Source organism: Homo sapiens, chromosome 11 (assembly GCF_000001405.40).
Source record: "Homo sapiens chromosome 11, GRCh38.p14 Primary Assembly".
Classification (NCBI taxonomy): domain Eukaryota; kingdom Metazoa; phylum Chordata; class Mammalia; order Primates; family Hominidae; genus Homo; species Homo sapiens.
In genome coordinates this window covers 116993262-117018681 of record NC_000011.10, presented here as the reverse complement: position 1 = coordinate 117018681, position 25420 = coordinate 116993262, and the positions used below count along the sequence as shown (strand labels likewise).

The window sequence follows — 25420 nt, the reverse complement described above, 5'->3', positions numbered from 1 at the left end:
TCTTGTTTAGAGTTGCCATTTTCTGAGTGTTCTGGCCATAGCATTTCTTCTTCTTGCCTCCTTCCCAGCAACATTTGCCCACTTGCTGTGGACTGCAGTTAATTAGGCTGGTTTGGAGCTCTTTCCTTCCTGTTCCATTTGTGTTACACCTAAAGCATCTCATGAAGATGATTTAGATTAGTTCCTGCCATCAAAGATAATCCAGTTTAGGATGAAGTCAACAGTATTTTAAGGGTGGAGTTCTCTTTTGGAACTGTCATTTGGTCAGAATTAGTGAATGCTGTTGTAGAGCTGACCCCTGCACAACACAGGTTTGAGCTGCGTTTTTTCTTTTTAAAACAATCCACTTATATGTGGATTTGTTTTCATCCCAATGCTGATCAAAACAGTGGTATCTGCAGGATGTGAAACCTGTCTGTACAGAGGGCCAACTTTTTGTATATGCAGGTTCCTCGGGGGACTGCAGGACTTGAGTGTGTGTGTAATTTGGTGTACTCAGGGGTCCTTCCTGGAACCAGTCCCCCAGTATACCGAGGGACAACTGTGTTGAGATATCAGCTGCGGGTTTCCCCCCAAGCTGTTACTCAATTTTCACATTATCTGGGGTTTCCTCTGTTCTCATATTACCCCCGAAGATTTTATACCAATTTAGGGACATCGTGTTTTCCAAATCCTAAATGAAAAGCAGGATATGAAGTGTTCGTATTTTCATGTTCTATGGTATTTCCTCTCATGCTCGATTTATTTATATCTAAAATCATGTCATGTAATAGTATATTAATAATGCTATACATTTGGTACTTTGCCATTCATAAAGTGTTTTTACAAATATTGTTTAATTTGAACCTCATGATAAGCTATCTAGACAGGTATTTTCTCAGACAGATGAGGAAACTGAGATTTATAGAGATTAATTTGTTCAATTCCAAGTAGCTAATTGAAATCCATACGACCTTTCTCATTTATAGGATTTGTAGATCCTACCTCCTTTAGGTGCAAAGGAGTTGTATAACCAGTTTTTTTTCTACTAGAATGATGACCTAATCAGGAGTAAATGACTTTTACTTCATGTGTGACTTCTTCATACTCACAGGTACTTTGATTCTTTCAATGTGTGTTACACCAATTTGATAGTATCTTGCCTTAAAAAAACATTTGTTTTATTGAATGTTTACTATGTACTAGGCCTGTGCTTAGCACTTTCAAAAACCTTTTTGTTTTGAAAGAAAAGAGGTATACTGAAAAGTGTATAATAAAATACACAGCTTAATGAGCTGTTATAAATACTCCTATATACAACACACAGATCAAGAAATAGAACATTTTTAGCATGCCTAGGAGCCAGCTTTTTGTGTGCTGTGTCCAATCAACATGCTAACTTTTTGATATTCACTTCTTTTTCTTCTTCTTATTTATTATTATTTTTTTAGAGACAGAATCTTGCTCTGTCACCCTGGAGTGCAGTGGCATGATTATGGCTTACTGCAGCCTTGGCCTCCTGGCCTGAAGTGATTCTCCCACCTCAGCCTTCCAAGTAGCTGGGACTATAGGCACGTGCCATTGCACTCAGCTAATTCTTTGCTTTTCTTTATTGATTTACTTCCTAAACAAGCATCTTTAAACAATATAGTTTGCCTAGTTTTTAGCGTTATATAATTGGCATTACACAATATGTATTCTGTTGTATCAGCTTCTTACATCCTGTTTTATATTTTTCTCTATTATGTGTAGCAGTAGTTTGTTCTTTTTCATTGCTGTATAGTATTCCACTGCATGAATATGCCACTATTTCTTCATTCTATTGTTGGTGGACATTTGTGGGTGTTTTCCTGTTTGGGGATACTATGAATTTGCAGCTGAGAACATTTCCTCACCCTCCCAGCTTTATTGACGTACAGTTAACAAAATTTGTGTATATTCAAGGTATACGCCATGATGTCTTGATAGATATATACATTATGCAGTGATTACCATAACCTAACTAATTAACATAAAGAACATTATTTTATTTTTTAAATTAAAACAATTTTTTCGGAGACAGGGTCTTGCTGTTTTGCTCAGGCTGGTCTTGAACTCCTGGTGTCAGATTATCCTGCTGCCTCAGCCTCCCAATTAGCTGGGATTACAGTCATGAACCACTGTGCTTAGCTCAAGAACTTTCTTATGTGTTTATTCTGGCACATCTCAGCACATATTTGTGTTGGGGATATACCCAAAAATAGATAGGTCATGGGATTCCTTCCTTCCTTCCTTCCTTCCTTCCTTCCTTCCTTCCTTCCTTCCTTCCCTCCCTCCCTCTCTCCCTCCCTCTCCTTCCCTCCCTCCCTCCCTCCCTCCTTCCTTCCTTCCTTTTTTTTTCGCAGAGTCTCTCTCTGTCGCCCAGGCTAGAGTGCAGTGGCGTGATCGCGGCTCACTGCAAGGGCCGCCTCCTGGGTTCGAGCGATTCTCCTGCCTCAGCCTCCTGAGTAGCTGGGATTACAGGCATACACCATTACACTAGGCTAATTTTTGTATTTTTTGTAAAGACGGGGTTTCATTACATTGGCCAGGCTTGCCTTGAACTCCTGGCCTCAAGTGATCTATCTGCCTTGGCCTCCCAAAGTGTTGGGATTACAGATGTGAACCATGATGCCTAGCCAGGATTTCTTTATCTTCAGTTTATTAGCTACTGCCCAACTTTTTTCTTTTTTAAAAGCCAGTCAAATTTAGCAATGGGGGGTTGTATACCAACTTTAGTGACACTAAAGTTAATAAGTTCTGATAACCCACTACCATAGGACCAGCCTGTCAAACATTTTTCTAAAGTGGTTGTAGGCTGGGCACGGTGGCTCACGCTTGTAATCCCAGCACTTTGGGAGGCTGAGGTGGGCGGATCACCTGAGGTCAGGAGTTCGAGACCAGCCTGGCCAACATGGTGAAACCCCGTTTCTACTAAAAGTACAAAATTAGCTGGGCATGGTGGCACATGCCTGTAATTAGTTTGGGAGGCTGAGGCAGGAGAATCACTTGAACCCAGGAGGCGGAGGTTGCAGTGAGCTGAGATTGTGCCATTGTACTCCAGCCTGGGCAATAAGAGTGAAACAACGTCTCAAAAAAAAAAAAATTAGCTGGACATGGGGTTGTATGTCTGTAATCCCAGCTACTCCAGAGGCTGAGGCAGGAGAATTGCTTGAACCCAGGAGGTGGAGGTTGCAGTGAGCCAAGATCGTGCCACTGTACTCCAGCCTGGGTGACAGAGCGAGACTCTGTCTCCAAAAATAAAAAATAAAAATAAATAAATAAAGTGGTTATAGCAGTTTAAGGTACTCACCAGCAGTATAGGTGAGTTCCCATTTCTTCAGATCTTCTCTAACACTTGCTGTTGTCAACTTCTAAATTTAAAATTTTAAAATTTAAATAATTAAATTAAAAATTCCTAATGTAGTAGGAATATAGTGGTATCTCATTGTGGTTTTAGTTTGCATTTCTCTGGTTAACAATAGGAGCACCTTTTCATGAGTTTATTAGCTGTGATATTCAAGTCTTTTGCACATTTTTCTTTTGGGTTATTTGTCTTTTATTGACTTGTGGTAGTTCTTAAAAAAATTTTTTTTAAATTAAAAACTTTTGTGTATTTTGGAGACAGGGCCTTGCTCTTTTGCCCAGGCTGGAGTGCAGTGGCGTGATCACAGCTTGCTACAGCCTCAACTTCCTGGGCTCAAGTGATCCTCCTGCCTCAGCCTCCTGAGTAGCTGGGACTAAAGGTGCACACTATCGTGATCGGCTAATTTTCATATTTTTAGTAGAAACAGGGTCTTGCCATGTTGCCCAGGCTGGTCTCAAACTCCTAGGCTCAAGCCATTCACCTGCCTCGGCCTCCTAAAGTGAGAGATTCCAGGTGTGAACTACCCACTTAAAAATCGTTTTAATTTAAAAAATAAAATGAAAAGAATGTTCTTCATGTTAATTGGTTAGGTTATGGTAATCATTGCATAATGTATACATCTATCAAAACATCATGGTGTATGCCTTGAATATATACAAATCTTATTTGTTAATAAATTGTTGAGGAAATACCTGGCCGGTAGTTCCCTCTATATTTTGGAGATGAGCCCCCCTTTTTTTTATTGTACTTGTTACAGATATCTTTTTTCCCCTCTGTAGCTTGTCTTTTCCCTGTTAGTTGTGTCTTTTGATAAATAAATTCTTAATTTTAATGTTGTAATGAAATTTAATCTTTTTTTCTGTATGATTAGTGCTTTCTGTGAGTTATGACATAAAGTCATAAAGATAATCTCTAATATTATCTTCTAAAAGTTTTATTGCTTTGCCTTTCACATTTAGATTTCTTAAGGGCTAAAATTATTAGATAACTAGGTATTAGTTGATTATATGTAATTAGTAAACAAATATTTATTGTGACTTCAGCTATGTAGAAGAGTCAGTGGTAGATACTAAGAGATGTAAGACTTGGTTCCTGCCCTAAAATAATCAACATTCTGTTTGTGTAAGTAAGGCCCTTGGCATCAGCACGATGTAATAGAAAGAACACTGACTGGACTGGGCCTGGTGGCTGATGCCTGTAATCCCAGCATTTTGGGAGGCTGAGGTGGGAGGATCACTTGAGCCCAGGAGGTTGAGGCTGCAGTGAGCCGTGAGTACAACACTGCACTCCAGACTGGGTGACAGAGCAAGACCATCCTGTCTCAAAAAAAAAAAAAAAAAAAAAAGAAAAGAAAAAAAGAAATAAAACACACACACACACACACACACACACACACACACACCCTCCCCCCCCCCCCCTCAGAATCTGGAGACTTATATCCATGTCCTTTTGGGGACCTGGCTGTGACACCACCTTTGTGATTTTAGAAATCTCCTTTCCTTCTCTGGGTCTCAGTTTTATCAGTAAAATAAGGGATTGGCTTAAGTATGTAGTTCTTGATTTTGGTTCCTCAGATTGATAAGGGGTCTGAGTAGATAGCACTGGAAGCATTTTTTTTTTAAAGCTAAAAGTATACATTTTTAGCCATGGTGATGCCACACAGGTTAACCAAAAAATAAAATATCTTTGCTTTTAACTGGAGTCGTGTGTCCTTTCTGTGTGAGAACTGAGTTTAACAGCTTTGATTTACAATAAAAGTTTTAACTTAGTTTTTCAAAAAAATACACTTCGTTTATTGATAATCCCAGTTTGGTATACAAAGTTTTTTTATGTTTTTTTGAAATGGAGTTTCACTCTTGACGCCCAGGCTAGAGTGCAGTGGCACAGGCTTGGCTCACTGCAACCCCTGCCTCCTGGGTTCAAGTGGGTCCCAGCCTATCTAGGATTATAGGCGTGTGGCACCATGCCCTGGTGATTTTTTGTACTTTTAGTGGAGACGAGGTTTCACCATGTTGGCCAGGCTGGTCTCGAGCTCCTGACCTCAGGTGATTTGCCCACTTTGGCCTCCCAAAGTGGTGGGATTACAGGCGTGAGCCACTGTGCCTGACCTTATACAAAGTTTTAAATAACATGGCCTTCTGACTTTAACTTAGAAACCAAAGAGTGGTAGGAGTAGGGGGAAGGTATTAAATAACAGAAACTATCTTTGGTGATTAAAAAGTTGGGTACCTACTATTCTAATAACTTTTAAGGGCTCTTCTGTAGGTTAGTGTAAAAGTAATTGTGGTTTTTGCCATTAAAAGTAATGGCAAATGGCGGGCGCTTGTAGTCCCAGCTACTCGGGAGGCTGAGGCAGGATAATGGTGTGAACCCGGGAGGCAGAGCTTGCAGTGAGCCGAGATCACGCCGCTGCACTCCAGCCTGGGCAACAGAGCGAGACTCTGTCTCAAAAAAAAAAAAAAAAAAAAGCAGTAATGGCAAAAAAAAAAACCCTAAGAATTTCAATATATTATGAGTCAGTGAAAATATAGTATTTGTTGTTTTGTTTCCCTAAGTGCCCAATTGAGAGATCTGGACAATTACTATTATAGAGATTGTGAGGATGGACAGAGAACCTTTTGTTGACTGAGGTAGTCAAAGAAGGAAGGCTACCAGGGTGAGCTAGGATTGAGCAGTGAGAAGGATTGTTTCTATGTATGGAGAAAAATGGGAAAGAGGGAATTGTGGACAGAGCAGTGTAAGCAAGGATACGGAAATAGCAAAGTACAGGTCATTTTTAGGGACAGAAGATGAATCAGTTTAGCATTAGAAGATGATGAAAAAGTAGTCTGAAGTTAAAGTATGGAAAGCCTTCTTCAAACATAAGGTCAAATACAGCTTTGGAAAAGTTAACAGTTACAAGTATGATGGTGTAATGAAGATTCTAGTTCTTCTGTAAGCCAAGCAGGGGCCATTGGCTTTAGGATGCCCTCTATGCTCCAATATAATGGTGCTGCCTGGCATCATTGAAAACATTAAAAAAACTTTTCTAAAAAGTATTTGAGGACTGGGCATGGTGGCTCATGCCTATAATCCCAACACTTTGGAAGGCTGAGATGAGAGAATTGCTTGAGTCCGGGAATTCGAGACCAGCCTGCAACATAGGGAGACCCTGCCTCTACAAAGAAATAAAAATAATTAGCCAGGTGTGGGGGTACATGCGTGTAGTCCCAGCTACTTGGGAGGCTGGGAGGATCACTTGAGCTTGGGAGATGAAGGCTGCAGTGAGCTGTGATCATGTCATTGCACTCCAGTCAGTGATAGAGTGAGATCCTGTTTCTGAAAATAAAAAGTGTTTAGGGGATAACCAGATTGGGCTTGTATTGATAGCCAGACCGCCAAGCAGGAAACTTTATGTATTTATTTTTTAAGAGTTGGAGTCTCTTTCTCTCTATTGCGTAGGCTGGAGTGCCACAGTCGTTGGGACTACAGGTACTGCCACCATGCCTAATTAAAAAAAATTAAAAGATGGGGTCTTGCTGTGTTGTCCAGGCTGGTCTTGAACTCCTGGTCTCAAGCAGTCCTTCTGCCTCAGCTCCCCAAGCTCCCAAGGGAGTATAGGCGTGAGTCACCATGCCTGGCCAGAAACCTTATTTTGTGGTAGTTGTTCAGCTATACCTTGCAGAATTTTTTATGTGAATCCTCAGTAAATCCCAAACAGCTTCTCTCAGTACTAACACATGGCTGATAAATGGTACTGAATTCTTTGTAAATCTCACCAATCTCAACAGAATTTCTGGTTCGGGGTAAAAAAAAAAATTTCCGTTTAATTTCTGTAGAAAATAACCACTCAGAATCCACTCTCTGTTATGTGTAACAATGGACAGAAATTTTACTGTTGTTGGTACAAAACAATGACTCATCCCAAATCATCTCTTGGAATTAAGAATGTAATCGTAATACACTCATACTCATATGTACGTGCTCAGACAGTCCCTTTCTGCCTTTCTTTTTATTACCCCTTCTCACTCCGCTGTGGTTTAGCTTGACTAATCTATTTGCAGCACATCAGCATCCTTAATGCAGAAAGTTTGCAGCTTCTGTTTACAGGGGGAAAAAAAAAGGAGTGTGGAGATTGCAGATTTCATCTCTTTTTTCTTCTTTTAAAATTTATAATTTCCTTTTTTCAGGAGGAGGGTGATTATTTTCGTTTTTGTTTGAGACAGGGTCTCACGCTGTCCCCCAGGCTGTAGTGCAGTGGCGCAATCTTGGCTCACTGCAACCTCTGCCTCCCATGCTCAAGCGATCCTCCCACGTCAGCCTCCTGAGTAGCTGGGACTACAGGCATGCGCCATCACACCCAGCTGATTTTTGTAGCTTTTGGAGAGACAGGATCTGTCCATGTTGGCCAGGCTGGTCTCGAACTTCAGAGCTCCAGTGACCCAGCCACCTCGGCCTTCCAAAGTGCTGGGATTACAGGTATGAGCCACCGTGCCTGGCCTACATTTTGTCTCTGACATTTCTCAATCTAAAGTATATGTATATGTACATTTATACATATGTTATTTACATATATTTTTTTCTTTAAAAAATTATTTTTTGGTGGACTGAGTCGCTTTAATTAAGACTCAGTCATTTTAATGAAGTGGGGTTATTTACTTTGACCTTCCTCCCCAGGAAATAGCACTTAAATACTTAAAGGAAAAATTAAAGAGGACCAAGGCCATGGTGGCAGGGACTGGGAGCATGGTGGCCATACAGCCTGATAAGCCAGCAGAGAAGAGTCCCACAGTAAACTGACACAACCCTGGTGATGTAGGTGGTTTAGGCACAGAAAAAAGGAAAGTCAGATTTGAGTACCCTCAGCAGGCCTTGTACTGGTCACCCCCAATACCCATGAGAACACAGCATCCTAGTCCTCCCTGGCTTATCGGTGCTCTCCACATGGGGGATACCTGTCACAGCTTTTATTCCAGGACTGGGGAAGTCACACTTTTCTGCCCACCCCACCCATTGTTTTGCAGAGAAGAATCTCTAAAACCTTCATTACTCATGCTGAAAGTGCTATAGGTATTTGGAATGGGAGAATGGGAAAGAGTAAATTCTGAATGCATTGGAGCCTTAATTTGCTGCCCTTTCTTTCCTTCCCTCTCTCATCTTCATGAAGGAGGGCCCATTGTGAATAAGGAAGAGGGGAAGCCTGTCTGGGAGAGGCTTTTTGGGTACTGGGCTTCCCAGGAAGAAGCCACTTCCCACCGTCCCCTTGATGATCATGTGACCCTTTTCTCCATGCAGCCAGAATCAGCTTCTTTGGGGATGAACTGGTAATAGATGTTGTCGTTAGTGTTATTTTTAAATTTTTAGATATTTTTTTCCAGATGCATCTTCAAAATGTAGGCTTTGGAGGTTGATAAGGTTTTGTGGGATTGGTAAGTGTTAATCTAGAAGTTGGGCAGTAAACAAGAATAGTACCTTATCAGCATTAAAACAAAGCATCTGAAAGAAATGTTTTTGAGGAGTAGTTGAATATTTAGTTGGTTAAAAATTTAGACTCAGAAAATTTTCAGGAAGGTGATAAAGATTCACTAATCATTAAGTAGGGAATCTCTTAAAGGTTTTATATTGATTTGATACATTAGAGAATGCTATAATAATAGTGTACTTTGATTGGTGGCCTATAAAGTAATTGTGCCTTTTATGGTATTTATGAATTGGTTATATTTTAAACAATAAATCTTGACTTTTGCGTCAGAGTTTCTCTGTTTTGTTTTTTGTTTTTTTTTTTGAGACCTGCTTTGTCACCCAGGCTGGAGTGCAGCAGTGCTGTCATTGCTAACTGCAGCCTCAACCTCCTGGGCTCAAGTGATACTCCTGCATCAGCTTCCTGAGTAGCTGAGAGCACAGGTGCGTGCCACCATTCCCAGTGCCTCACTTTAGGCTAAGTTTTTCATTTTTTGTAGAGACAGGGTCTTGCTTTGTTGCCCAGGCTGGTCTCGAACTCCTGGGCTCAAGCAATCTTCCCTCCTTGGCCTCCCAAAGTGCTGGGATTACAGGCATGAGCTATCATGCCTGGCCCTGCATCATAGATTTTTTTTTTTTTTTTTTTGAGACAGTGTCTCACTCTGTCGCCCAGGCTGGAGTGCAGTGGTACAATCTCGCTCACTGCAACCTCTGCCTCCTGGGTTCAAGTGATCTCCTGCCTCAGCCCCCCAAGTAGCTGGGATTACAGGCGCACACCACTACACCTGGCTGATTTTTGTACTTTTAGTAGAGATGGGGTTTCGCCATGTTGGTCAGGCTGGTCTTGATCTCCTGACTTCAGGTGATCCACCTGCCTCGGCCTCCCAAAGTGCTGGAATTAGAGGTGTGAGCCACCGCACCTGGCTACATCATAGTTTCTTAAAATCACCAACTGTTATCTATGTTTTCCTATTTTAATTAGTCTAATTTTTAATAATTTATTTCTGGGTTAGTTTCTGTACTTTTGGTAGAATTGCAGACTCACAACAGGCTTCAGGAAAGTAATTTTACCAAATGCAAGGCTATTTGCAATTTAGTTTTCTGATTCAGAAGCCATAACTCTGTGCTGGATTTGATTATTCATTATTTAACCAAACATTTTTCAAATGCCTTCCTTATTTTCTGTCTTAACTGCGTAGAATTAAGCCCATTTCCAAAAGGATTTTGAGGTAATTCTGGAGTTTGAGATTAATATTTTTAAAAAGAAACCAGAGTTCATTTTCTGCAGAGAAAGCTTTTAATCAAATATACATATAGTACCCTGTGTCCTTAATTGAATTGAGGGTTTGACTTTTCTCCATGCAGAATTCGAGTTGATATTTTTGTAGTTTAGGAGTTTTGACTTTTCTCTTTTGCCTTTATGTTAACAAACTTGTGAGTTTGCAAGGTTATAATAGAAAGAGTATATAGGGTTTGGAGTCAGGAAGTCCTAGGTTCAAATTTTAGCTTAATGAGCAAGTTACTTAATTTTTCCAAGCCACAGGTTCCCCAGCTATGAAATGGAATAATATTACCCATCTATTGGGGTTCTTGTGGGGATTAAATCAGATGAAAGTGCTTAGCATAGCATATAAATGTTAGTTTATTTTCCTTTGGCAATTATTTAGGCTTTAGGGCAAAATTGCCTACTTGTTTTGGAATGAACCCAAATTTTATGGTTAATTTTAGGCTTTTTCTTCAGTTAGACTTTTGATATGTCTAACTCCTTCCCAATTTTTTTTTTTTTTTTTTTTTTTTTTTTTTGAGATGGAGTCTCTCTCTGTTGCCCAGGCTGAAGTGCCATGGTGCGATCTCAGTTTACTGCAGCTTCTGCTACCCGGGTTCAAGCGATTCTCCTGCCTCAGCCTCCTGAGTAGCTGGGATTACATCACTATGCCCAGCTAATTTTTGTATTTTTAGTAGAGATGGGGTTTCACCATGTTGGCCAGGCTGGTCTCGAACTCCTGACCTCAGGTGATCTACTCGCCTCAGCCTCCCAAAGTGTTGGGATTACAGGCATGAGCCAGCACACCTGGGTGGCAGTGCATTTTTTAATGAGGAAGATTGAACAACTTGACAGAAGGGTGAGCTCATATTCTGAACTCTTACAGTTCATCTAATGTCAAATTTCTAGAAAAAAATTATCTAAATCTAAAAGTTAGTATGACACTCCATAACATTAATTGTGAGTCCCTGAGGGGGCAGCTATAAAGATAAAATGGAGTATAGGATCCCCCAACACACATAACACAAACGCTTGTGATTGAGTGTGCATTGGCACATGTACACCTGTGTGCTCACCCCTCCTCTCCCTTCCTTCACCTCTATCATGAGTACAGGTGTGTTGCTTTGAATTGGTGAGGAGTGGGAAAGAGAGTCCTTTTGGTGACAAGAAAGCAAACTGGTTTTATTTAGTTCACCAAAATATTGTTTTGATCCTTTTTTGTTTGTTTGTTTGTTTTGAGACAGAGTCTTGCTCTCTCACCCAGGCTGGAGTGCAGTGGCGTGATCTTCGCTCACTGCAACCTCTGCCTCCCAGGTTCAAGCGATTGTCTCACATCAGCCTCCCAAGTAGCTGGGATTACAGGTGCTCACCACCCAGCCCGGATAATTTTTATATTTTTAGTAGAGACAGGGTTTCACTGTGTTGGCCAGGCTGGTCTCAATCTCCTGACGTCAGGTGATCTACCTGCCTCGGCCTCCCGAAGTGCTGAGATTACAGGCGTGAGCCACTGTGCCCAGCCGATCCTTTTATTTTCAATATAAAACTGTTGCTGTAAGCACGAGCATGTCCAAAGGGAACACCATGGGATAGTAGTGAATTGAGGGTGATAATCCAGTTTTGAGGCTTAAGTCTGCAATTCCTGGATTAATTTGGCTGCTCTGTTATTGGTGGCTTTGCTAGGATCATTTTCAAATCACTTTATTTTCCTTTATGGTAAGTGTATTAATAGTATTTAATAACAAGATTAATCTGGGCCAAGGGCTTTCCTGTGAAAGTTACTATTTTCATTATGGGAGAAAAATAGAGCAGCATGGCCAGTGTGCATTTTTGTTATCCCATCCTTAGGTAAGTGAGTTTAGACAGCCTGAGCTAAATACCTAGATTTGCAAAAACACCTCCTACCCCCATGCTTTCCTTTTACCATTTAAAATTGTTTGTGAAGATCTTTTTTTTCTTTCTTTCTTTCTTTTTTTTTTAAACACAGAGATAGGGTCTCACTGTGTTGTTTGTTTGGGTTTGCAACTCCTAGGCTAAAGGGTTCCTCCCGCCTCTGCCTCCCAAAGTGCTGGGAATACAGGTGTGAGCCGCAGTGTGCAGCAGCTTAAGTTTCTGATCTCCCTCACCACCTCGCACTTTCACTCCTCATACCCCTTCCTTGTTTAATAGAAGGATCCTTTGTTTTGAGTAGTCTCCAAGTGGAGTATTTTGGAGAGACTTTGAATAAATCCTGGCCCAAGCCTGATCACAACACTTGGACATTGAGCTTACCTGCATTCTGCTGTTGGGTAGATATGGAATCTCTGCCCCTCTTGATCAAAGCTACATAGCCCATAAGGAAACATCCATTGAGCAGCCTTCTTTCCTTTCACTTAATCAATTTCAATGTATTGTGGTAGAGGTCTTTGTGATATTCCATTTTAGACTATATGATCTTTAGGAATGCTTAACCCTGCTGTGCCAAAGACCAGGGGAAGGCTGTGTATTCAAACTCATTTGTTCTCTGCTTTTTTCTTTTTAATTATTAGTAGTTAACTCTAAATGAAAGTATAGAACTGTTTAGTTTGAGCAAGGAACACTATTTGTTGGCCTCTGCTTTCTGTTCCCCTTCCTTCCCTTCCCTCCCTTTACTGTGGCATCATGATTCTTCCTTCCTGTATTCTTGGTCATTCTCCCAGCACCTCACTTTAGCCCTACAGTGGAGATTCTTCTGTTCACTAATAACTGCAGTGGTGTCAGTTTCAGTAGATCAGCCTTCGTCTTCCTTTGCTTGAATGGAGTGTTTAACATGCTGGATATCCTGCCTCTTTCTGCTGAAGCATCTTTCCTGGGGTCATTTTGACTTGCTGCTTATATAACTATTATGTCCTTTGGGTTTGTGATACTTTATATTATCAAAAGCAGCAAAAGATAGTAATAGAAGTAAGATTTTTATTACTCTCATTCTATGAATCAGATGTTATTATCCCATTTTAGAGATAAGTAAATTAAGAGAGTGGTTATACCTGAAGTTCCAGAGTTATTAAATGACATGACTGGATTCAAACCCAAGAGAGCCTGACTTCAAAATCTGTGCATTGATCTCTACTGAGTCTGAAGGTTACTGACCCAGTGAACCAGTCACTGTTCTGTTTCTAAGAAACGTTTAGGTTCTGGCTCTTGCAGGGATCTTTATAGTCCTGTATTTGCAAAAACACCTCCCACCTCCATGCTTTCCTTTTACCATTTAAAAATGTTTGTGAAGATCTTTTTTATCTTTTTTTTTTTTTTTTTTTTTTTTTCTGAGACGGGGTCTCGCTCTGTCACCAGGCTAGAGTGCAGTGGTGCGATCTCGGCTCACTGCAGCCTTCACCTCCTGGGTTGGCCAGGCTGGTCTCGAACTCCTGACCTCAGGTGATCTGCCCGCCTCAGCCTCCCAAAGTGCTGGGATTACAGGTGTGAGCCACCATGCCCAGCCCACATTTTGTTTTTATATTCTGAGTATTATATAGTAAAAAAGGAGAAGAGTTCATTGATACAGTCTTTTAAAAACTGATCTCAATGATATAGTAGGAAAAACACTGGATTAGGAGATAGGGGTTTTAAGTTCTAATCCTGCCTGGCTGTGCCCTTAACTAGCTGTATGAGACTAGGCAACATTTACCATTTCCTTCCCAATTAAATTGAGGTAGCCGTACTAGATTTATCTAACATGCCTTTCATTGCTCACATCATGCGACATTAAGCTTTAATTAGAAAGCTTTGGTTTTGGGACCTCTTTGTTTTCCCATAGGCTTTAACCTTGTTTCCTTTCTTATTGCCCAGCAGGAATTGGACTAGAGTTGGCCAAAGGTGGGATGAGGAGAAGAGGTAGGAATCTTACAAGAGTTGGTTGGAGTAAAGTTATTGACAGGTGGGAAGAAGTATTCCTGTGACTCTGTGGTTGTTCCCTTGTAAGATTTGAAGGAAAGTAATGAGTCAGGTCTTAATAATAGTGCCTCTATGTTATTTCCTCCACCCCATTATCTTTTGTCAGAATTGATTAGCAAAATGCACTTACCCAAGTATTTTCAGGGTCCCTGTTTGGATAGTCTAAATAACGTTGTTCTTTTTTTTTGTTTTGGAGACAGGGTCTCACTTTGTCACCCAGGCTGGAGTGCAGTGGCACAATCTTGGCTTACTGCAGCCTCGACCTTCTGGGCTCAAGCAATCCTCCCACCTCATCCTCCTGAGTAGCTGGGACCACAGGTGTGCACCATCACGCCTGGCTAATTTTTTGTATTTTTTGTAGAGATGGGGTTTCACCATGTTGCCCAGGCTGGTCTCAAACTCCTGGGCTCAAGCGATCTGCCCACCTCGGCCTCGCAACATGCTGGGATTACAGGTGTGAGCCACTGCTCCCTGCCTTTAGTTACCTTTATCAACCTATGGTCCTAAAGGTAGATTCATTGAACTTGCCTGTCAGTGCTTAAGGATCAGTCCTGTCTTAGTTCAGACAAGTTAAATTCAGGGTTGCATTCTGTCAACTTTGTTTCTAATCAGTGGATGATCAGATGATATTTGGAGAGGATTTTTAATATATGTGAATCTTATGGTGGCATTCTGTTACTTAATAAATACTTTAATTTCTTAGCTTTTTTCCCCATATTCTCCATAATTTTTGTAGATAGATGCTCAGACGAAGGCAGCAGTAGCACATGGATAATCAGAGTTTTTTGTTTGTTTGTTTTAACATTTCTCGTTAAAGTATAATGTTCAGCAATGGGGACCAATCTATACTCCTCATCTGTAGTCTGTCAATAAATAGGTTGCTCCGACTTTAAATTCTCAGCTTGAATTGTTTCTTTTTTGTGTGTGGAATTTATGACCCTCTGTGATGTTGACCCTACCTAAAGCAAGTAGAATAGCTACACCAGCAAAATGAAATACCATAACAACAACGTATGCTTATGTTTATATAGTGCTTACTGTGTGCCTGGCATGGCATTGAATAAATATATATATTTAATAAATAGAGTTGGGGTCTCGCTTTGTTGCCTACCTTGTGTTGAACTCCTGGCCTCAAGTGATCCTTCTGCCTCCGCCCCGTCAAAGTGCTAGGATTACAGGCATGAGCCACTGCTCCCAGCCAGCATTGAATATATTTTTTTTTTTATTTCATCCTGAGAACAACCTTATGAGGTACTTTCAGGTCATACTTTTATTACCCTCATTTTATACTAGAAAAATTGTGCTTTAAGATGTTAAGCAAATTGCCCAAAGTGCAAAACCAGTGTGTTGGAGCTTGAATTCCAAACCAGATCTGCCTGAGTCAAGCTTTTCTTTTATGTTCTTATTTACTAAAGGCTTCTTGAACAGAAGTATGTGAGAGTTGGGCACATGCAGCTTGGTCAATTCTATGTAAACCCGGTCAGATTCTGAGTAGTGTAGATCTGATAAAGTCAATGTGAATTTCTTATCATTCGTTGCAAGAGACTTAATGTAGCAAAAATCAGTATCATAGGAAACGAGATGTTACTGTGGTAGGCACACTGTTCTCTCTCAGCTACCTCATTTTTGTTGTTATTGGTGGTGGCTATTGCTCTGGCAACTACAAAGGCAGCATTTACTTGACACGGCGTGTATGCTTAAGGCAGAACACTGACTGCTTTTCATTGCTGGCAAATCCGGACTTCATCAGTACTGGCTACCTGTAAGGAATGTGAGCATGTTGGATTTTAGAACAGGAAAAACACAACTTCCACCTCATTTCACAGTAGAGTTCACTTAGGGATACAGACTTTTTGGTGACAGTAACTGTTACTTTCTGCTTATTAATTCAGATACTTGCATAATGCTAACCTGGTAGATATTGTCAGATGACAAGCCTTCCTCCTACATGTTCTCTATAAAAGAACTGCTAGTGACAAGCATTTTATTATATTAAAAATTCTACTTCATACTGTTTTAAGTTAAAATGTATTTATTATGAAGCCAATATTGTGAAATGTTTTTTTCTTTTTCCAGAATGTGGTTTTTTTTTCTTGTAATGGACTAAGATGCAGGCTTATTGTGTAGAATGAGGAGCTATTGCCCAGATGGACCTTAGTGAAAGTAACTTAAATAAGCAAGTAGATTTTGCTTCTGTTTGGGAAAATGATCTAAGACGGATGCTGGTATTTTGGGCAGGTGGAGACTAATGTTTTATCTCAATGTTTGCAACTTAAGTTCAGCCTACTTAAGGGCTGTCCCTTAAGGGTGTCCAATTGTTTGGCTTCCCTGGCCACACTGGAAGAATTGTGTTGGGCCACATATAAAAATACACTAACACTAACAATAGCTGATGAGCTAAAAAAAAAAAATTGCAAAAAAGTGTGATAATGTTTTAAGAAAGTTTATGAATTTGTGTTGGGCCACATTCAAAGCCGTCCTGGGACGCATGTAGCCCACAGGCTGGGTTGGACAAGCTTGGTCTAGAAGTTTTCTAGATTTTACTACAATGTTCAAATGGCAAACTTTAAAAGTGGGGAAAGGAATTTTGGGTGAGATAAAAAGACAGGTTTGAAAAAGCATACAAGTTCAGGGAACTGCAAATGGTTTCTTAAGACCAAAGCGCAATGTCAGTGTGAAGAAGTGGCAGGCAATGGGAAAGGATAAATCAGTGGAGCCCAGACAATGAAGGAGCTTTGTACTTGATGCTGAGGAGTGTGGATTTGTTTCTGCAGATAATGGGGAACTTCTGATTTTTCTTTTTTTAGGTGGACAGATAGAATCAAGTTTGCTTTTGTTAATTCATGTGACAATGTAGAAGGTGGACTGAAGGTAGGGAGAGTATTGTATTCATTGGAGACTCATTAATTGTTAGAAGACTATTGTAATCATTCAAGCAAGAAATAATGACCTAGGCCAGGTACAGTGGTTCATGCCTGTAATTTTAGCACTTTGGGAGGCCGAGGTGGGAGAATCGTTTGAGGCCTGGAGGCAGGGTCTTGCTCTGTTGCCCGGGCTGGAGTTCAGTGGTGTGATCATGGCTCACTGCAGCCTCCAATTCCTGGGCTTGTGATTCTCTTGTCTCAGCCTCCCAAGTAGCTGGGACTATAGACGTGAGCCACTGTGCCCAGCTCAAATTACTTTATTTTAAATTTTTTTTTTTTGAGATGGAATCTTGCTGTGTTGCCCAGGCTGGAGTGCAGTGGGGCGATCTCAGCTCACTGCAACCTCCACCTCCTGGGTTCAAGTGATTCTCCTGCCTCAACCTCCCAAGTAGCTGGGAATATAGGTGCACACCGCCATGCCTGGCTAATTTTTGTAGTTTTAGTAGAGATGGGGTTTCACCATATTTGTCAGGCTGGTCTTGAACTCCTGACCTCAGGTGATGCACCTGCCTTGGCCTCCCAAAGTGTTGGGATTACAGGCGTGAGCCACTGCACCTGGCCTCAGATTACTTTTTATACATTGAAAGATGACCTAGAAATTAGTCAAGACATTAATTTAGATAGTCATACAGTCAAGTGACATAAACCTCAGAGAAGAGGAAGGTTTCCGTGCTATCGCCCCACCCACTAGAGTGGAAGAACTTTGAGGGAGATAGAATAGTGATATTATAATCTAGTTCCTATAGATAAAGAATGTTTGCCAAGAAGGTTAACTTCTGTAGCTGAGCTCCTTTGCTGAGAAGATGAAGGAACACTGTTTAATGGATAGATTTAGTCTGTGATTCTCTGTGGAGGTGATTACTGTCAGTTCTCTTTATCCTAGCAGCATTTGGAAAACTGCAGCTAAGCAACCCGTCGTCATTTCCTAATGTTACTATAATCTGGTGTCAATGACTAATGATCTCATTGGGCTAGTTATTCCCTTCCAGCGATGCTGGCATCAGGAAGCACATTAATAGTCTGTAAGAAATGCATTCATTAAAAACCAGGTAATCACTTTGGAGCTGGTCCTGGCAGTGTCTGAATAAATTGGACAAGTTAGAGAAAATCTTGAACCTGAAAGCTACTTTGTCTTTCAGCTTGGTTTGGGCAAGGTAGGAAGAGATGAATCAGTTATAATTTGATGGGATCTAATGTTACTTTTATAAGATACATCACTTTAATATGATGCTTCATCATTAATGTTTTAGTAATCTGACAGCATTAGACAGAATTGATATTCCCCTTATTTTATTATTTCTTGGCTTCATGACAGAACTGTGCATTAAAAGGCACTTAAGATTTTAAAAGGGATATCTAAGAAAGTGGTTAAAAAACAAACAAATCCCAAGTGGCTTGATCTGACTTACAAACTCTAACAATGTGTAGCTAATTGCAGATAGATTTTATTATTCACAGTATTGTGTCAAGTCTCCTGTGCACATCTTCTGTATTGGAGCATAAGTAATGGAGATGTTATCTTGCCCAACATTAGGTTTGAGGAAGTCGTTTTTAAGACAGAAATAGTAGAACAGTGTTATTCCATACTGTACTTTCCCCTTTTATATAAGCTTGCTAAAATTAAGGTTGGGCAATAGGCCCTTGAGCTAAATGTGACCTGATAGAAAGTTTTAGCAACAATGAAAAAAATTATAACTATCTAATATACATATCTAATATTAGATATTTACCTTACTTACATATCATGCACAATCAAACAAATGGCAATTATAACTACATTCTTTTTTACTTGCCATAATGGAAAAACTTTATTAAACAAATTATGCCCACTGTTGCTCTGGGATTTGGGGACTAGGTAGGCATGATTTCAATGGAAAATAATTTAGTAATGGTATGTCTCAATAATGTATCAACAACCTGGAAAGTATATATTCTTTGACTTAGGATTTTCATTTCTAAGAATTTGTCTTATAGAAATAATAGTAGGTCAAAACAAGAATGTAGTCATAAGAGTATTTACTGCAATGTTGTTTAGAAGAGGGAGAAAACAAATGAAAATGGGCTGGGTGCAGTGGCTCACGCCTGTAATCCCAGCACTTTGGAAGGCTGAGGTGGGTAGACCACTTGAGGCCAGGAGTTTGAGACCAGCCTGGTGAAACCCCATCTCTACTGAAAAAACAAAAAAGAAAAGAAAAGAAAAGAAAACAAAATGCCACAAAAAACAAAGAGATGAAAATGAAAAGAGATCTCACAAGACATATGAATATGTTGCACTTCAAACTGATGCAAACAGGTGTCCATCTAAATTCAATAGTGGGCAGTTAGAATTTGAAACTTAGTTGTCATTGATGATTGCCCTGTGCTCAGAGGAATCACAGATTAAAAAAATTTTTTTTAGAAAGAATTGAAGTTGAGTTTCAGAAAAGTCAGACATTTAAGTTTACAACCGTAGTTGGAGTGCAAACACATATATGTCTTAATTACAAAATGTCTGTTCTGTTAGTACAACTTAGCATAAAGAAGAGATGGACCTACAAGTGAAGTATATCAACTGATAAGAAACAAAATGCTTTAAAACTTTGGATTCAAACCTATGATTCCAGAACTGTTCTAACATTTTAAACAATATGGTCAAACTCTAGGCAAGTTTGGTTCCCTTGTGTTTGTGAAACTATATTTTTCATACATCTTCTGAAGTAAAAACTAAACACTCTCATTAGTTGTTTAAATCTGGAATTGGATTTGGAATTTGCCTTGATTTTATATACCTTTGTTCTTGAGGCTACCTGTATTTGTCAGTTTTATCTTAACTTACTCAAAATGGGTCACTTAGTAAAAATAATTGTCTAACTATACACTTTTAGTTTGATTAAGCTTTTTGGATTAGTTTGGGATTTTGACTAAGTTTCTATATTTGTATGATCAATAATTTCATACTTATAGTAAACAAAAATTTATATATCTGTACTCCTATAGATTTATGATTCTGTGGCTCTAAAAATTTCAGTGCTCTTAGAGTTGTGGAAAGAGCAGAGCACTAGATTAAATGAAACCTCTGTGTGCCAGGCCCTAGCTGGGCTTTCTCGAGGCATTAGAGTGATAAAGTTGGTTGAGGAAATGGTGAAAGCCATACCTTTGTCCTGCCATTTTTTTTCTTTATGAGATCATGGTTGAAGTCCCTGACTCTCATGATAGTGAAATTGAGATTTTAAATATTTGTTTCTCTTTACATCCCAAATCCATTATAGCTAAGAGGAGGAATTTCAGATATTTTTCCAAGAGCGGTTGTCAATTTTTTTTTTTTTTTTTTTTTTAAGACGGAGTCTTGTTCTTTCGCCCATGCTGGAGTGCAATGGCATGATCTCAGCTCACTGCAGCCTTCGCCTCCAGGGTTCAAGTGATTCTCCTGCCTCAGCCTCCTGAGTAGCTGGGACTACAGGCGTGCGCCACCATGCCTGGCTAATTTTTTGTATTTTTAGTAGAGACGGGGTTTCACCATGTTAGTCAGGCTGGTTTCAAACTCCTGACCTTGTGATCTGCCTGCCTCAGCCTCCCAAAGTTGTCAGTATTTTACTTACTTTTCTTTCCTTGCATATTGGAATAGCTTTTTTTTTTTTTTAAATTATCATATACACTACCTGTGGAGGTAAAAACATAAACTGTTGTTTTCTTGGAGGCTGAGGCAGGAGGATCACTTGAGCCCAACAGTTTGAGACCAGCCTGGGTAACATAGCAAGACCCTGTCTTTATAAAAATAAAAAGAATTACTGGGTGGTGTGCACCTGTAGTCCTAGCTACTTGGGAGGCTGAGTCAGGAGGATTGCTTGAGCCCAGGAATTTAAAGCTGCAATGAGCTATGATTATGGCACTGCACTGCAGTCTGGGTGACAAAGTGAGACCCCATCTCTAAGAATAAAATAAAATGGAATTAACATTCACTGTCAACAAAGGCACTCTTGTGCCGTTTTTGTCCCCTTCTTGACTGTCCTGGTCGTATGAGATCTGTTTTTCCTCTAAATTCATTGTATACTATTTTCTTTACATTGTACATTTGGCCATCTCTGGGAAAATGTTAAGAATGTTAATGTTCTCATTTTAGTATACTGATATCTCACTTTTCAGAATATCACCTTCCTAATCTTTTTCTTTAGTCATTTTATCCAGTTGTACTTATGTAAGCTACCATAAACTTTTTCTGAATCAAAGCAAAATATAAATTAATAAATGTTTGCTTCTTTAATAGTGTATATTTTATTCCTTTTATCAAATTTTTAAGTCAGTAAGTACTGTGATTTAAGAACTTTTTATCCTATAATACTGAATAAAGTGTTTTGATATAGAATACGGTACATAGATGTAGATATGCATTTAGTGCCTTGCATATTTGTTGAATGAATGATTACTACACATATGAGCTAAGTCAGCTGTTTGGGGTCTTCTTTTTGCCTGCATCTGATTGGCTTGTCAAGCAGACTGACTGCCCACCTGTTAGACCCATATGGGCTGGCTGAGTATATAGCTAGTGTTTTGCTCAGCACACCTGCTTGTGCGCATGGATTGATGTCTGCTCTTAAACTAGTTGCCAAGGAGTCAAGTGTATGGCAAGGTGAAGGAAGACTGGCAGTGAAGATATCTTAAAGAGGTAATCTAATAATAATGGCCAGTGGTTCCCCTGAATCTTGTTTGCTCAAGTTGTTCACATCAGAGAGATGTAAAATTGCTTTCATTTGGGTGGATTTGGGAATTCTTTTTTGATAATGGGAAAAAATGAGAAGGTCCTCTATGATATTGTTGTGGATGGATGTGCATATGGTCAGAGAACATGAACCTGTTAAATTTTGAGCTTGAATACTTTTCATTAACAACTTAATTGAGAATAGCTAGATAGCATCTATTGTTTATTCTTTTTATAACAAGTAGAGAAATAGAGAAATGTCTTTTTTTTTTTTTTTTTTTTTTTTTTTTGAGAGAGAGTCTCCCTCTGGCGCCCAGGCTGGAGTGTAGTGGCGCGATCTTGGCTCACAGCAACCTCCGCCTCCCGAGTTCAAGCGATTCCTATGCCTCAGCCTCTTGAGTAGCTGGGATTACAGGTGCCCGTCACCACACCCAGCTAATTTTCATATTTCTAGTAGAGATGGGGTTTCATGATGTTGGCCAGGCTGGTCTTGAATTCCTGGCCTTAGGTGATCCACCCGCCTTGGGCTCCCCAAGTGTTGGGATTACAGGCGTGAGCCACCGTGCCCGGCCTGAGAACTGTCATATTTTTAATCCTGTTGGGTCTCCCCCTTCTCCTGTCACTGTATTTGAGCAAGTTTATATAAATTATTGATATTTTTCTGGCCACAAAAGTGCAGCTATATTTAAGATAATATTTTTTTATTTTCACCCTCTTGACATAATCAAGCCATAACATGAAATGGAGATTTATTATTTATTGTTTATTGAATAAAATTTTGTTCCTTCTTCTATTTTTTTTGGAGACAGAATCTCATTCTGTCACCCAGGCTGGAGTGCAGTGGCACAATCTCGGCTCATTGCAACCTTTGTCTCCCAGGTTCAAGCGATTCTCATGCCTCAGCCTCCCGAATAGCTGGGATTATAGGCACACACCACCACACCTGGCTAATTTTTGTATTTTTAGTAGAGACAGGGTTTTGCCATGTTGGCCAGGCAGGTCTCGAACTCCTGGCCTAAAATGATCTGCCTGCCTTGGCCTCCCAAAGTGCTGGGATTATAGGCATGAACCACTGCACCCAGCCAGAATTTTGTTCCTTTTTAATAATTAATTAATTAATTAATTAAGATGAAGTCTCACTATGTTGTCCAGGCTAGCCTTGAACTCCTTGGGCTCAAATGATTCTCCCATCTCAGCCTTCTAAGTATTTGGGACTACAGGCAGGTTCTACCACACCTGACTTGTTCCTTATTTTAGATGTTGAAAATAAGCAAGTGAAATAAAGGCTTATCAAAGTGTACACAGCACTTTGCTAGATACTGTGGATGATTTTTCAGGGAAGATGCCATTCCTCCCCTGAAGAAGATAATTATTGTAGAGTTAGAGCTAACAGACAAAATAGATGATATATAAATTTATTCTTAGGAGCCAGGTTGTTGAGAGGATTAAGAGCAATCACTAGACGATTAGAATATTGGGGACTTCCAAAACATCTGAAGTGTATCTAGAATAGTAGATAAGATCTGCACAGGTAGGAAGTAGGGTGAGCCGGGTGTGGCGGCTCATACCTGTAATCCCAGCACTTTGGGAGGGTTGAGGTGGGTGGATGCCTTGAGCGCAGGAGTTTGGGACCAGCCTGGGCAACATAGTGAAACCTTGTCTCTACAAAAATACAAAAATTAGCTGGGTGTGATGGTGCACACCTGTAGTCCTAGCTACTCGGGAGGCTGAGGCGGGAGGATCTCCTGAGCCTGGGAGGTGGAGGTTGCAATGAGCCAAGATCACGCCACTGCACTCCAGCCTGGGTGACAGAGTGAGACCCTGTCTTTTTTTTTTTTTTTTTGAGACGGAGTCTTGCTCTGTCGCCTAGGCTGGAGTGCAATGGTGCGATCTTGGCTCACTGCAACCTCCACCTCCTGGGTTCAAGCGATTCTCCTGCCTCAGCCTCCTGAGTAGCTGGGATTACGGGCATGCGCCATCATGCCCAGCTAATTTTTGTATTTTTGTAGAGACAAGGTTTCACTATGTTGCCCAGGCTGGTCTCAAACTCCTGACCTCAGGTGACATACCTACCTCAGCCTCCCAAGTGCTGGGATTACAGGCGTGAGCCACCATGCCCGGCCTGAGACTCTGTCTTAAAGAAAAAAAGAAAAAAAAAGGAGTGAAAGTAGAGGTGAGAAGTGCCTGGAAAACGGGACTTTTAAACTGAGCTTGCTGCAGAGGTGGACACAAAAATTTGGGGCTGTTTTGTTTGAGGAATGAAGAATAGCAGGACAAAAACAGATTGTTTTGGGGTTGGTATTAATAATTGTATAGGTAGCGTGGGGAAAACTTTTAGAGAGCCTTAAAAGCTGAACCCGTATGTTTTAGTTTGGTGTGAGTAAACGTAGATTCCTGGTGCTCTGTAACAGGAGTGTTTGTCGCAGTTTAGTCCGACAGTGATGGCTTATAGTACATATGATTGTGGTCAAGATGAGGAGATTAATTAGCTAATCCCAAAGGGATTTCGTGATCATTTATTGAATCCTTACCACCAAGCACTTTTTGTCATGAATCATTATTTCATCTAAACCTGGCAACTGCCCTGTGAGTTTGATATTGTTATAATCCTCACCGTAACAAGTGAGAATGCTGATACCCAGCAAGGGCAAGCACCTTTCTTAGGGTCACAAAACGAGGAAGGAGTAGAGCAGTCAGTGTGGCTCCAGGAACCAGAATCTTAACCACTATGCTCTAAAGTGTTTTTCAGAGAAAGGAAGATTAACATTCTTTCCTTCGATGTATTTTTTTCCTTGCTAATTCCCTATCTCCTTACCTACAATGTGGCTTAGTGATCTTAGGACAAAGGTTTGGCTTGGAGACTTCAAAGAGGTTTGTCCATTTCAGACTCTTCAAAAACAGTTACTGGTTACTTACAAATAACACTTTGTAATTCAATAACTGAAAAATCAAAACAACTTTAAATAGATTTTAAGGCTGGAGAAGGGAGGCTAGCTAATTTCATAAATTTGTTGAAGTTTGATTTTCTTTACCCTAGTTGTATCATAAATAGGAATGGTTTTTTATATTTATACTTGTTTAAATATACTGTTTATACCTGTTTAAATGCTAAGCCAACAAAAGCTCTCTGAAAGAATACATGCACACAAACACATGTCTGTTTCGTCACGGATGTGTAACTCACTCATGGTTGCTCCTCCTGATGTCTGTGTGCCACACAGTTCGGAAAAGGCACTTGCTTGGCTGTCACGCTGTAAGTTCCCTTTGTCATTTGTGACAATTGGTCTCTTTGCTGTACATCTTTTGGGATGAAGGATTGAGCTCTTGTAAAAGCATTTCAGAGGTTTTTCAGCTAATGATTTTTCCGCTCATTCTTTACTGTTTGGTTTCCTAGGCAACCCATCCTCCCCTTGCACCCTGCTGACGTCTGTTCAGCCCCTCTTCCTCTCCACTACCCCTCCCATTACTCAAGTTGTTTTTTCATTGCTGCTTTAGGATTGCACTAAAGGAATATACATGTTTTCCTAAATATCTGCTCCTCTATACTTTTTAGAATATATTAGAAGGATGGGAAGAAAAAAAATCATTTTTAGAAGCTAAGTAACCTGTATTTTTAGGTCAGTTATAACAGGGTTTCATCCATATAAGGCTAAATTTATTCTGTTGTTTCTAGGTTGGTTTTCTTTTTTAAAGTTAAACAATAATAAAGAAATTGTTGTCCATTTAAACCAGGAATTCCATAATTAAGCTATTTTAGGAATGTAAGGTGTTGTATAGGAAAAAACAGTCTGAAAATGGTGGGCATAGTTGCGTTTCTAGATGGTTATGCTGTGATTTATTTTTTTAAA

General features: G+C 40.1%; 1 protein-coding gene and 1 pseudogene across 15 annotated transcripts in view, besides 1 other annotated feature; one reads left to right on the top strand and one right to left on the bottom strand.

Annotated features, from left to right (window-relative positions):
- SIK3 (SIK family kinase 3) overlaps positions 1-25420 on the top strand; it is a 255027-nt gene that overhangs the window by 79747 nt on the left and 149860 nt on the right. The gene's annotated exons all lie outside the window — the stretch shown is intronic.
- On the bottom strand, positions 2691-2785 carry RNY4P6 (RNY4 pseudogene 6; annotated as a pseudogene).
- Positions 7191-7843: an enhancer, noted in NCBI's record as "H3K27ac hESC enhancer chr11:116881555-116882207 (GRCh37/hg19 assembly coordinates)". NCBI's record gives its function as "activates a minimal SCP1, AML or CMV promoter by ChIP-STARR-seq in naive H9 embryonic stem cells {active_cell/tissue: H9 hESC(naive)}" and the evidence as "EXISTENCE:reporter gene assay evidence [ECO:0000049][PMID:30033119]".